The 14,847-nt window shown below is 35.2% G+C and overlaps 1 protein-coding gene across 11 annotated transcripts in view; it reads left to right on the plus strand.

The window, feature by feature from the left end:
- The window catches only part of CNTN1 (contactin 1), a 379,977-nt gene that overhangs the window by 226,002 nt on the left and 139,128 nt on the right, over window positions 1-14,847 (plus strand). For all 11 annotated transcript variants that reach the window (XM_011537926.4, NM_001843.4, XM_024448843.2 and 8 more), the window contains 4 exons: window positions 199-331; window positions 3,816-3,988; window positions 6,117-6,212; window positions 11,356-11,562. In XM_011537926.4, coding sequence (XP_011536228.1) covers window positions 199-331; window positions 3,816-3,988; window positions 6,117-6,212; window positions 11,356-11,562 — 609 coding nt within the window. The remainder of the gene's footprint in view (window positions 1-198; window positions 332-3,815; window positions 3,989-6,116; window positions 6,213-11,355; window positions 11,563-14,847) is intronic.

Raw genomic sequence — 14,847 nt, forward strand, 5'->3', positions numbered from 1 at the left:
TGACAGGAGATGCACAGAAAATAATTTTAAATGAAGAACCTGATGTTTGGCTCAGTATTATGGAGGCAAATATCTTTGTTTTGAATTAAAATGGAGATTCTGTTTCTGATTTTTTTCAAGTAATTTTTTTTCAATGTTCTCAAATTTTCTTTGACTTATAAAGCAGTACAATGTAAAACAATTTCATATTTCTTGTAGTTTCTGAGGAAGACAAAGGATTTGGACCAATTTTTGAAGAGCAGCCAATCAATACCATTTATCCAGAGGAATCACTGGAAGGAAAAGTCTCACTCAACTGTAGGGCACGAGCCAGCCCTTTCCCGGTTTACAAGTAATGTACCTCGCTTCTCTTTTCAGAGTGGAGTGTCAGAGTAATGATCACAGATCAGCATCTATGAACTTGTACAGATGTAATATAGTGCTTTCTGCAAATTCCATGGACATTAACAAAAATATTGGCATACAAACTATTAAAAAAGTTGCCTAATGCTCAAATAGCAGATTTTCTTAAATATATGCAAATAATTCTCTTACTATTTTTTGCACAGATAATGTTACTGGCATTTGACATTATCCACTTATAAATTGTATAATGGAAATCATGTTTTTAGGCCCATGAATGGTTACATAAAATTATGCATAATTTAAATATACAGATTTGAGGATAAAATGTTTTTGTTATGTACTGGCCTGCATAACTCATACCTACAGATATGGATAAATTTTTATATTAAGTACATTTAAAGATCTTGCACAAATAACTGTAGAAAGCACCATATTTTTCAACAGTCTCATATCTATATTCCACCCAACACAGCAAATTTCTTAAATGTCTCTACCTATAGGAAAATCTATATAAACATACCTCTTACTATTTTTCTGGGTTACATATGTATGCTATCTAAAACAACTTTATAAAAAGCAACAATGAGTTTTCCTGCTTCAGATGGGTCATAAAAGTATACTAACAGTTTCTCATCTGATGCAAAGAATGAGATGCAAAAATCAACCAAATGCCAGTGGATTTAAATTTCACCTGTGCAATGGTTCCATGAAGACAAAACAAGTGACTGATGGAGAAATTGGGGGCTCTAGTGTGTTAATGTCACCTGACTTAATTGAAAGTTGTCACTCAACAAAGTTAATTTTAATATTTTTTCCTTGATACAAAAGTAACTTTCTATTATTATAAAAAGTTCTTACAAAAGAGAATATCCCTTTCCACCCATTTGATTCTAACAGTACTCAGTTTTTTCCTGCCTTTGGCTATAATCACAAAATTATTCTTAAGATAAAATTGTGAATTTAGATACAAAATCACCATCCCATTGAAATTATTTTTATCGTTTCAATTTCATACATGGAAATATGATATAAGTAGGTATTTTATAAATTATAAATAACACATTTGTTCTCAAAATATTTGATGGGCTAGACTTATTTCCACCCTTAAGCCATATATAATGAGAGCCTATTTGTCATTGACATGGAATAGTAGAACTAATAGGATCTGTAGAGGAGATCCAATCCAAGAAAATTTTACAGGAGAGGAAGCTGAATCCTGAATAAGTAAATTTGCTTGCTCAAGAACTAGTAAATCACAGATCCAAGACTGAAACACAGTTTTTATGACTTCCAATGAGGTATGCAATTTTTTCATTATTTATCTATCTGGATAGATTGATAGAATCCCAAAAACTCTTTCAGTGACACTTATGCTGTGACACTCTGTTGTTAACAGTCACACAAGGGACCTTAGCAAATCAGTCTCTAGGCTAGAACAGAGGCAACCAAAAGAAAGGGCTGCTCTCAGATAACATTCTAGAAACATGGAAAAGGCTATGCTTCTCCTTGCTGCCCCCATGCCCCCACCCCACAGGCACAATAAAAAGCAAAGCTTTGCTTTGCCAGTAAGTCACCAACTGCCTCTCTCAGGTTGCACCCAGCACTGAAATTCCCACTTTGAGTTTGGCCTGGTTATCCATACACTAATAGACAGAACTGGAGAAGACAGATAGATGTTTAATCTTGTTATGAAGACAGTCTGCATTTGACAGGAAAAAAAAAAGTGGGGGGAAAGAACAGAAAAAAAATCAGCTCATGATGGAAATAGTTTGATGGAAAAGAACATTTAAAGTTTTTAAAATGTACATAATTTCAGGACAAATTATACTAACCTTGGTAATCATCCAATTTTTCATTCATATAGTAGTTATATATTTGTAGCATGTTCTGGGACAACGTGCTATTCATAGCAACATCCTGAGAGGTACAACAGGGTACTTTACTTCTGACTTATAAGCCTTGAGGCTTTCATTATCTTGCCCCCATCCCCAAAGAAACAAGCATTACAATAAAAAAGTATTAAAAGGGATTGTAGCAATAGTCTATGTTTCTGAAACTAGACCAGTGAACTTCTTCAAAGACAGAAAAAGGTAATCCTTATATGATGTCACAAGCACAATCAGATCCATGTGGAGGAAGGTAAGATAATAAACAAATATTTGGAACCAATATAATGAGGGAGAAATTACAAAAATTGGAGCTGCCCAACAAAGAAACCCACTGTCTTGACAAGAGCTAAGCAACTTAACACTAGATGGTTCAGGCAGGGACAATATTGCCATCACCTGGGGGAAGAGGAAGGCTTTATTCATTGGATTGTAATTTAGTAAGTTTTAAAAATGCAAAATCACAGTTTTCTATACTTGCTTTTAAATTATCTCCTATACTGCGAAAATTGTAACTAATAATGTTCCAGTAACTTTGATTTGACAACAGATATTCTAAAGTCATTAGGACTTTTGGGCATGATTATTACTCTAATTAGAAGTGGCCAGGAAATGAGCGATGTGGCCACGAGCCACTACTACTTGAGCGATTTGACCACAGCTCTAGGCTTATGACTTTCCTGAGGACATGGAACTTTAAAGGATAAACCCTGATAAAGAATGATTATAAAATTATACAGTTGGTTCTCTTAGTTGAGAACTATTTTCTACATGCATTCTTTTCATCATCACATCAGAAAGTTAGATCCCTGTTTCCAGTCTATTTATAACACTATCCCTATCAGTTAATGCTCTGATTATCTGCAGCATGTCTTATATTGTTATGATATTATGTGGTTGGGGAGAAAAAGAATTGTTCCTCTTTTTCACTTTATTAAAAGTAATCTTAGAGTAATGAGAAAAGACATAAGTGACCACTAACTCTAGGCTGAGGAAAATCCAGATTTACTTGTATATTTGTGGCTCGGAATAAATTTTTAAAAACCCAACTGACTTTTATCATTTTCAAATTGTGTGACTGACCTCTAGTGGTCAGAATATGTCACTTATTGAGCAGAACCCACTGTCAATTAGTTTGTTTTATTGAAAAATTACTTTGAAATTTAGAGTCAGATATTGATATTTTGTATTTTATTTATGGTAGAACAATGCTTTTAATACTTTATACAGTATATCTGCATATGTATGAATCTAACTGGTGCATAGATGGCTATCAATTACATCCCAAGAAATCAATTTATGGAGAAAAACTCAACAAAATATTTGTCACTTGAGATACCTCACAAAAAAAAGACAAAATACGTCATGTACTTTGATGTTTCCTTGTCTGTACTTGAGCTAAATTACAAATTATGGTCCTAGAGACTCAGAATCATAGAGTACAAAGAAATACCACCTGAATCATATTCTTAATTGTCTGACTTCACATGGAGCCGTACCCAAATTATTTTAGAACTGTGTTAGCTCCGTAGAGTTTCTAGGTCTCATGACCTGTGATATGACCTTTGTGTCTTTTTCTCATAGATGGAGAATGAATAATGGGGACGTTGATCTCACAAGTGATCGATACAGTATGGTAGGAGGAAACCTTGTTATCAACAACCCTGACAAACAGAAAGATGCTGGAATATACTACTGTTTAGCATCTAATAACTACGGGATGGTCAGAAGCACTGAAGCAACCCTGAGCTTTGGATGTAAGTAAACTGTAACTTTTAAAAAAGGGCAAGCGTGTTTAGGTGAGTTCAGCAAGAAGAACAATCAGGAAAGGATAGTGAGAGGAAGGCATCATAGATGAGGTGGATCTTACAAGATGAGTGGACCCTAATTGTGTAATGGAGACAACAAAGCACCACAAGGCATACTATGAATGCACTTGAAACAGTGAAAGATGATGTTGTCAAATAAAGGAAGGCCAGCGTCTGAGGATCTTGAATGACTCTTTAAAAGTTAGCATCAGGCTGGGCGCGGTGGCTCACACCTGTAATCCCAGCACTTTGGGAGGCTGAGGCTGGTGGATCATGAGGTCAGGAGATCGAGACCATCCTGGCCAACATGGTGAAACCCTGTCTCTACTTAAAATACAAAAATTAGCTGGGCGTTGTGGTGCATGCCTGTAATCCCAGCTACTCGGGAGGCTGAGGCAGGAGAATTGATGGAACCTGGGAGGCGGAGGTTGCAGTAAGCCGAGATTGTGCCACTGCATTCCAGCCTGATGACAGAGCAAGACTCTGCCTTAAAAAAAAAAAAAAAAAAAAGACATCAATGGAAGCAACAAGCCATGTATTATCAAAGGGGCACTATCACCCCTAAGGGGGTGAAAATTGTCTTTTGGGGGAAGAAAATGTCACATATTGCAACATAATGTCTGTGACTCTTCAAAGATCAACCCAATATGACAATATTGTATTCCCTAATATTTAACTTCTAATAGTAGGAATAAATTTAATTATATTTTAGTTAATTTATTTTAAATTTAAATTACATGAAACATTTCTTTTAATTAGGGCTAATAATGAAAAACTGTGCTAAGCTAAAAATTAGAGGTTGTTTTGAAAGAAAATTTTACATTGGGAGATGAGTTGGACCAGGTGATCTCCAGTATGTGATTTGTCAGCACTTAAATCTTTTGCAAAATGAATTATAGGATGAAAACAATGTTTTAAGAAGTCCTTCATGGTAGGGTTTATCAGGAGGGAATGAGAAAGGTCCAGGAAGAGAAGTAAGATTAAATTAGTGTGGTGAGAGTGGAAATGTAAATAATATACATTAACCATAAGGAAAGAATTAACAGGTTGCATTGCACAAAAGGAAAGAAGACTGTACATTTTTTTTCCAAGTTATGTCTAGTCAGAGGGTAGAAACATTCTGTTCTCATTAATAATGGGATGGGAGCAAGAAAAACCAATTTCAAGGATGGCAGGAAGCATTTAAATGGTTGCTTCACATGCAGAGGTTATTTTGATATTGAGTTATCCAAGTTGAAATGTCAAGTAAGCTATTGAGGATAGGGATGGCATTCAAGTAAGACACCAGGCCTAGAGAAGTAGATTTGAAAAGTCCTCTGCAAAAAAGTAACACTTAGCATAGATGAATTTTCAGAGGTATACACTTTATACTGAGAAAAGTAACAATTCAATGTTATAATTTGGGTGCCGATCACAGGTTAGGAACAGGAAGAGAGGCAGAAAAAAATAGAATGAGTATCAGTAAAACAAATGAAGAACTGGAAGAATATCAAGGAATCAAGTGAAATGTAAGTTCCAAATACATAGAAAAGAGTAAAGAAAATTAGAACTGAAACAAACCCAGAATTTGAGAAGGAGCAAGAGATTGGTTACTTTCACGTTCCCTAATGAGGGTCCTGCCTTTCACCCTTATTCCTTCCCGATATCCAAGCCCTCCCTCAGGAAGAGAAATACCCTTCAAATGAGTCCATTCCTCTAAGTCATTCCTTCTTACTTACTTTCTTTGGTAGGTCCCTGGTTTGTCTGATTTCATTGTATTTCCAGATACCCTGACTGAGATTCTCCCTAAGTCTGAAACAAAAGTCTTCAGGATATTTGTGATTTTCAGGGTTGTCAGAATTCTTATGCAGGCTGCTCCCAATATCCATAGACTTTGAGCTCATAACAGAACTTTTTAATAGTCTATACAAAATCTCAGCAATGTAAGAACGAGGAGCTGACTTTACTAGGCTTCACCAAACCACTGAGAAGTGCTGTATCTCACGAATGAGTTATTTGCTGAAAGGTAAAATTGATGAATGTCTCTCTTTCTATTGACCAGAGAGTGAATGTTTCTCTTTTTTTCTTTCGTAATTAGATCTTGATCCTTTCCCACCTGAGGAACGTCCTGAGGTCAGAGTAAAAGAAGGGAAAGGAATGGTGCTTCTCTGTGACCCCCCATACCATTTTCCAGGTAAACTTAATTCCTCTCTGACTATTAGCATCTATGAAACAAAATGGACAAGTTTCCATTTTCTTAGTAATAATGCTACATTATTAATAATCATGGCTTATTATTAATTAAATGAGACTGAATATTTGCATACCTTGTAATGTGTCACTAATTGTTGTGGACACTTTCTTTCTTGGCTCAGTCACCTGGCTCTAGTCCCAAGGATCTCTAATCATTTTAGTTTATAAACATATATATATATATATAGTATTATGTCATCATTAAAGTTCCTATTCCATAGGGAAATTCTGTTAGATTTTCTAGAAAATATTCCTGAAATAGAACAGTACCAAGAAAGGATGTATAATCAATCATTTTCTTAACAAGTTAGTATCTATGAAATACTGTGAACTGTATGTAACTAAACCCTAGAAGGGATAAAGACATAATAAATTATTAATCTCCTTAGGAATACCAATCAGCAAGAATAATCATCTACTTTATAAATGGGGCTAAATTAAGTGTCATCTGTTATGAAATTCAATTTTGAATCTATGTTTTCTGTAATTTTATATGGCTAAGACAAAAGCCACCAAAGTGCTAATTAAAAGATGAATTCCTCATATACTTTCACCAATTTTCATTTATTTATCAAATATCTCTTTGAAACAATATATAAATACCTGTTTTCACAATTTAAAAATCATGTTTCTATTCTTTTAGTTCTAATATTATGCCTTAAATTTGACTTTAAACATCTCCATAGAGAATGAAACGTAACAGGCTTTTAAACTCCATACAGGATTTTGTGTGGGATACATCAATCTGATGTGTGTGTATGTACATATACACACACATATATTTCACACAAAATTATGTTATATATTCCACATGAAATTGTGTGTGTGTGTGTGTGTATATATATACACGTATATATACGTATATACGTATATATACATGTATATATATATATACGTGTATATATATATATACACATATATATATATAGAGAGAGAGAGTTGTGGTTGTTTACATATCAAATATTTGTGATTTTCTCCACAATAGGAGAAAGATGATTGCTTGATAAATACAGGAGGTACATATAAAATTCAAAATTTTCTAACACCCTTTCAATGAGAAAAACCTTTTTCTTAAGGAACTATTGAAATTATATATATATATATATATATATATATATGTATGTGTGTGTGTGTATATATATATATATATATATATGTATATATACATATTTTAAAAACCTACCATTTTCATAGTGTTTCCCACAAAGTAATGACCAAAACTATCCAGTGACTACATTTGACCATATTCAATACTGGATGGACTTCACTGCATCACTCATTGACTCAGAAAATCTCTTATGAGTATTTGTTATACAGCAGGCACAATGTATGCCACAGAAATGCCTCAGTGGAGCAAAACAGGAAAAGCTACCAGCCTTCAGAGGTCTTCCACGGGGAGAGTCAGACATTAATAAGATAAATGGCTAAAAGACATGCCATGTTAGATATTGCTAAATAAGGATAGATAGATAGATAGATAGATAGATAGATAGATAGATAGATAGATAGATATAATGCAGGGAAGTGGGGAGAGTAAGTATTGAGGGGAATGACTGAACTCAGGAGGAGCATCACTAGAAGGAAAGTTGGAATAAACACCTGAAGGAAGTAAAGGAGCTAACAATATGAGTATCCGAGAGAAGAGCATGCCAGGAAGATGCTGAGGTCAGACTATGGAAGACCAAGGAAGCCAGGGTGGCTGTCATAGAGTGAATAAGGCAGAGGGTAGTAAGAAATGAAATAAGAGAGGTACAAGAGCTGCATTATGGAGGACCTTATGATCCATAACAATTATTAATACTTTGGCTTTTACTTTGAATGCGATTTACATTGGTGGGCTTTGAGCAGAGGAGACACATGACATGACTTAAGTTATAGAAAGGTGACTCTGGTTACTGTTTTAAGAAAGGACCTGGGGAGGACAAAGGTGGAAACAAGAGATCTGTTTGGAGGTATTGCAATAGTTTAGGTAGCATATGATGGGCCAGAGTGGTGGCAGTGGAGGTGGGAAGATAAATCCAAGCATATTCTAGATAAAATAGAATATACTAAATTCTATATAGAAATCTAGGTATACTTTGGTTAAATTCTAGATATATTTTGAAGGAAAAGCCAATAGGATTTGCTTGTTGACTTTATGTGGTATATAAGATAAATACAAGAGTTGAGGGTGGCATAAAAGTTTTTGCTGTGAGATCCTAAAAGAATGAAGTTGCCATTACTTCAGCTGAAGGAATAGATGTGGACATGTTAAATGTGAAGCATCTGTTAAGCTTCCAAACGGAAATCAAGGTGGCAGTTCTATATGTGTGTAGATGTCGGGGGTGATGGAATATCAATTTATGATTCATCATTCAATAAGTTGTTTTCAAAACTATGGGACTGCAATGTGCTTACCTAGACTTCTGGGGCAAAAGCAAGAAGTGTCATATATCTACCGATAAAAGCAACATTTCTTAAGTATGTGCTGGCACTTACTGAAAAAATAATTTTATGGTTATTTATTGTTTAATCCAGTCTATAATCCGAGGAAAACAGATAGCTTTTGCAAAGATGATTGATTTTATCATCTGTGTGGGGCTAGGAAAGACACAAAGAAGATGGTCTGTTGAGTCCTTGAAAGAACTAGATCAGGGCTTAGCTCTTGATTGACAAAGTCACATCTCATCCGTAAGTCGGAGAGTCAGCGTGGCTATTGCTCTGGTGTTGGTACAGCTTATTTTGGTGATGGTGGGTGGGGAAAGAGGTGAGAACATCAGTTCTGCCTCCCGTTTGCTGTATGACCTCAGGCAAGTCACTTCACCCTATTAGGCCTTGGATCCCCCATTTAAAAATGGCAAGAGCCATTCCTACCTTTGTTGTAACGATTGCTGACAGATTCTAACAAATTGCAATTATTGTTTTGTCCAAGTGAATGGCTTTAAAAATAAGTAAGATTTGTTAAATAAATTTAGATTAATTATATTGCAAGTCCCACAAATCCAAAGGCCACATCTATCTTGTTTAGCAGCACTTGGAAGGTACTTAGATTTTGCAAAATAAGTAAATTAGAGAATCTACATCGGGCATTCAGTCAGTTAGACCAGTTGTTCTATAGTCCAAGACTTATGTTCATACAACATCACGACAATAACTTCTCGGATTTAGCATTTATCCCTTATAAGGATCAAGTACCATCACTTCTTTCATTCCTTTTCACACATCTCTTATGAGTGGGGCACAGGAAAATGTCTTACATTTTAGAGAAACTGAGTAATAGAGTGACTAACTGGCCTGATAAAAAAGTCATACTGAGAATTAAAATTCAGGTCTCTGTATTCACATAACCACTGAGGATTCAGATTACTCTAAATGCATTTTGTGGGCAGTATCTTTCATACATTCTATAGTTACAAAAGTCCTTTCTCTGTAAGGAAATACAAAATTTCTTGACATTTTTGGCTTTGGTGGTGGGGCAGGGGGAGTGGGGATTTAATTTTTAACAGAAATCCTTACAAAATTTGGATTTACATTTCAACTGAGAATAGGAAATATTAATTCAGAATCAGAAAAGATCAAAGTCTTCTTTTAAATGTACTATACATATCAGCTTGGATGAAAGACTACTTAATACTCCTTTCTGAATGTGATACTTCTTTACTTATCCCAGGAGCCCTCATTTAAGAAATTTAAGCAGCTCCCTAAATATTTTCCTATACTAATTATCCTGTGACCCTAAATCAGCAAGAAGAAAACAAATGAAAAGAATTCAATTATTCACAGATATAAGTGCCTAGAAATATATGTTAACCGTAATTCTGAGTTAGAGGCTAATTATGGTAGTCTAATTTTCTGCCTCTTTTTATCTGTATTCTGTTTCTTCAATAATAAACATATGCTGCTGCTTCTATAATTTGAAAAAATCAATGTTGAAAACCAAAAGAATATAATCATATTCACTGCCTGTCTTGATGTTGTATTTTGCTGGAGAAAATTACATAGCTAAGCTAAATATAATGCCCAGGTTATTATTCCCAATTATGTGAAGCTTATATAATGTGCATCTCTTTTAGTTTTTCATAGTCATTGTGCTTTCACACTCTCTTTGAAAGCTTTGCTAGCCACGCTGAGTTCCCGAAAGCAAAATAGCCATTTGTCATGATTATTCATCTTTAAAAGAAGCCTGAGTGCTGTGATTTCTTGGTTTTTCACCATTTTACACCTAAAATCCTATCTAGTCTGACCTAGAGAGATTCCCACTTATATTCTTCCCAGTAGAAATTGTCTTTATGTGATCAAGATGTTTTGAAGGGAATCATCATTTTTTGACCTAAAGGTATGCATTGCCCATTGTCTCCTTGTGTATTTGTTGAATGACTCCTGGGGAGTCATTCATCAAAACAGAGAGGAAAGAAGGAATAGAAAACTATAGGAAATGCAGCAAATTAAGGAGGAAATTCAGTTTTCCATTTAACTAGTTAGTGTGTTCAGCCAAAGGAATTTCATGTGGGTAAGAGTTACCATATGATACATCTCCTAATATTTAATTAAACCAGTACCATACTTTTCCCTGTTTCTGTGGTTTCCCTTTTTAATGTGACCACAATAGGTTATGTAAGCTCATTTCTAACTCTATAAAATAGGTGCACACACACACACACACAAAAAAAAAAAGATAAAGCAATAATATGGTAAGTAATCTTAATTATATTTATAAAATGCAGTTTGGCAGATTAATCATGGCTTTCGAGTTATTAGACATGGATTCAAAATCCTATTTCTTCTTAATAGTCATGACATTCTAAGCAAGTTATGTAACCTCTTCGAGTTTCACTTAGCCCATCAATGAAATGAAAGCAAGAATATAATAGTTTATTAAATAATAGAAATAGATAAATAGATGTAATTGCTTAGTGTAATGCTTATATTCATGTGAAATATGGTACATGTTTAAAAGTGTGCACTGTTTGTCTTGGCTTTCTCCTAACATTTGCTCCACAATAGCCTTTATTAGATTAAGTGATAGCTTGTTACTAGCCTCTATTAAATTATGTAACAACTTTGGGAGAAGCACTTAATATTTAGAAGGCAATATTTTCTCCTAGATGATCTTAGCTATCGCTGGCTTCTAAATGAATTTCCTGTATTTATCACAATGGATAAACGGCGATTTGTGTCTCAGACAAATGGCAATCTCTACATTGCAAATGTTGAGGCTTCCGACAAAGGCAATTATTCCTGCTTTGTTTCCAGTCCTTCTATTACAAAGAGCGTGTTCAGCAAATTCATCCCACTCATTCCAATACCTGAACGTAAGTATTTTATTTGTTACACTCTGTTTTCGCAAGGTTATCTACATATGGTATACTTACCGTAATGAAAAGAAATATCCAGTGAAGACTAGCTGACTTTTCAGGAAGGACAATATAAAAGGGGATGCATGTTGAAGGGGCCAAAGGCTTGGTCCTAAGCTTTTTGCGTTGAGAAGATTTAGCTAATAAAATTGCTGTAAGAAGGTTGAGTTCGGATGAGTTGCCTCTAGCTCGGAAAATACACAGGGGACTGATACCTTAGTCCAGTTCTAGTGTATTGGTTACAGTGGAAATCACTGACATCTACTTTTTGTTTTGTGGCCATTCCTACTTCTTAGTAAGCTCATGAAGAAATCAAAGGATTGGTAGATCAAAACAAACAATAGTAATTGTAGAATTTTTTAAGTCATTTTGATTATTTTGGTATTTTTAAGGAACTATTTACATGATACAAATAAGTAAATAAATGGTCTTTTCTAATCTACATAATCAGCATGAGGTGCTACCCTGGTAGCACCATGGCAGATGACACTGACAATCTGATTGGCCTTTCCCCAGGCTCCAATTGAACTACTTCCCTTTTAAAAAGCACTGCTGCTTAAGAGAATCAAATCACAGTATACTTGCTTACTTTACATTATTTCTATCCAAGTCCTTCTGCTACATTAATATCAGCAAATTCAAGCTCATGAGAGCATACCAGCTTCAGATTAACAGATTTAGGTTTGGCTCCTGCCTTTACCCCTAAGCACAGTGTGATGATGGGAAAAATGCTATAATACCATTGAGGTTCCATTTTTATTTTTCTCTGCAAGGCAACACTCACATAATTGGTATTCAAAAAATATTGTTGACTTTCTGGCTCATTTTTCTTTTCTCAGTTTTAAGAGATAATCTCACCCCCTACTTCATAGACTGAAAAGGAGCCATCATGTAAAAATTCTCTTGATTTTCTTTCTACTCTTCCCCAGAAATATACTTGCAATTCAGCACTTCTATTTATTTTCTTACTTTTTGTCTCCATAGCAGAAATATTTCTCCCCTCGCTCAAGCTAAGTTCTCCAGTTGTTCCGGTTCACATTCCATTTGTTTCAATTAGAAACTTCACTACAACACTTATTTTCTTCTTTCCTGAATCCTCAGATTCTGCTCTACCTCATTATCTCTGCATATTCTCTTGTATTCAATGCAATTTTGAATTATTATGAATTCCTATTTGCTAAATCCAAAGGACACTTTGAAGTCCTTATTCTGTTTGAACTTTGACACTGCCTCTTCTGCCTTTCATGAACTTTTCTTTCTTCACTTAATTTCCTGAACTCTTCATCTCCCTTCTGCCTCTCTGACAAATTTCATAGAATATTCTTCACAAAATATTCTTCTTTCTTATATTTTTCTCTAATCTTTTCCTAGGTATTCTCACCCACTTACACATTTTCAACAGTATACCTTTGCAAGAGACTTCAAGTTCACATCTCCGAAACTTTTCTTGTGTTTAGATGTCAATTCTTCCTATATCCTGGACTTGTCCCCCAGAAAGCTCTCACAGATGTTAAGCTCAAAGTGTCACAAATACATGTGTTACTTCTCTCCAAAACCTTCCTTTTATTTAGCTTATTTAGCAATACAGTTTCATTTCTAATAACTCAAGGTAGCATTATTTATTATCAAATCCCAATTTCCACTGATCTTCAGGACAGCTAACCCTGTGGTTCTTAATTAGTAGGTAAGCACCTGGGGAGTTTTGGGAATAATGCAGGACCCAGAGATACTGATTCAGCAGGCCTGGAATATGACCCAGGAATCCACAAGTTGAACCAGTATCCTAGGTGATTCTGATGATTGAGCCTTTAATCTACACCTTGAGAAACATTGATCCAAGGAGCCGTCCTGTTGATTCTGCCTCTAAAATACAATTTATATTTACTGTTTCCTTTCTGTTTTCACTGTAACTATGCCCTAGTGTTGGCCCTCACCTGTTTTGCCTGAAGTATTGAAACAGCCTTTTTGGACCTCTGAGACTGTCTTCTATATTTCTCCTCTCCATGCTCCATCCTTTAAAAATGCCAGCAAGGTCTTCCACTTAAACCAAAGATAAGATCCATATTACTTCTCTTACCAAGTCCCAATGGTAGTTACCTGATACGATTTGGCTGTGTCCTCACCCAAATCTCACCTTGAATTGTAATAATCTTCACTTGTCAAGGGTGGGGCCAGGTGGAGATAATTGAATCATGGGGGGCTGTCTCCCCCATACTGTTCTTGTGGTAGTGAATAAGTCTCATGAGATCTGATGGTTGTATAAAGGGGAGTTCCCCTGCACATGCTGTCTCTTGCCCACTGCCATGTAAGATTTCCCTTTGCTCTTCCTTAATCTTCCACCATGATTATGAGGCCTACCCAGTTATGCAGAACTGTGAGTCAATTAAACCTCTTTCCTTTATAAATTACCTAGTTTCAGATATGTCTCTATTAGCACCATGAGAACAGACTAATATATTACCTATTGAGAAAATTCATCTCAAAATATTATTTTTTCAGTCCTTCTAGATTGTGGGTTCAAGCTCATATACTTCAGCATCATTTGAGTTCCTAGACCTTTTAAAATTCCTTGCACACTCCTGGAGCTTTGTCGTAATATGGTGTTTGCTCAAGCTAAACTGGTCCAATTTAAATGCCATATTTGCCTCAGAGTGCTATAGCCCTTACCTACTTCTAACTACCGTCCTCATCAGTCACTCTTTCAAAGTACCCATTTTGATTTGGCTTATATATCATTATTTATTTATTTGTCTCTTTAGCATTTTACAGTGTGTGGTACACACTCAATTTGTGATCCTAAACAATGCCTTTCACCTTTCTAAGCCTGATTTTTTCTGTAAGCCTGAAGGATTAATACATCTTTCAGGACTGATGTGCTAAATAAATGAAATAAAGTGTCTAGTTTGAAGAGTGCTGTGTTGTCTGAGTAAATGTTTTCCTTCTTTCCCTCTCTCCTTCTCTCTTTTCAATTTGTTTCCCTTTGCCTTTATCTCTGTGGGCATTTCTTCTTTTCTCCTTAGTTTCTTGCCTTGCGTCTTTCTTTTCTACTCTCTTCTCCTTCTTCTCTTTCCTTCTCCCTCATTTTCTTTCTCCACCTTCCTGAGTTCCATGCAGCACTGATCACAATGTTTGACACATATCTGTTGCTCACTAAAGACAGGATTTTTTTTAGTAAATTGAGTCACAATGGTTATGCAGCTGTCAGAACGAGCCAATATTATTGAAAATACTGAGAAGTTATAC

The sequence above is a fragment of the Homo sapiens genome, chromosome 12 (assembly GCF_000001405.40).
Source record: "Homo sapiens chromosome 12, GRCh38.p14 Primary Assembly".
Lineage (NCBI taxonomy): Eukaryota > Metazoa > Chordata > Mammalia > Primates > Hominidae > Homo > Homo sapiens.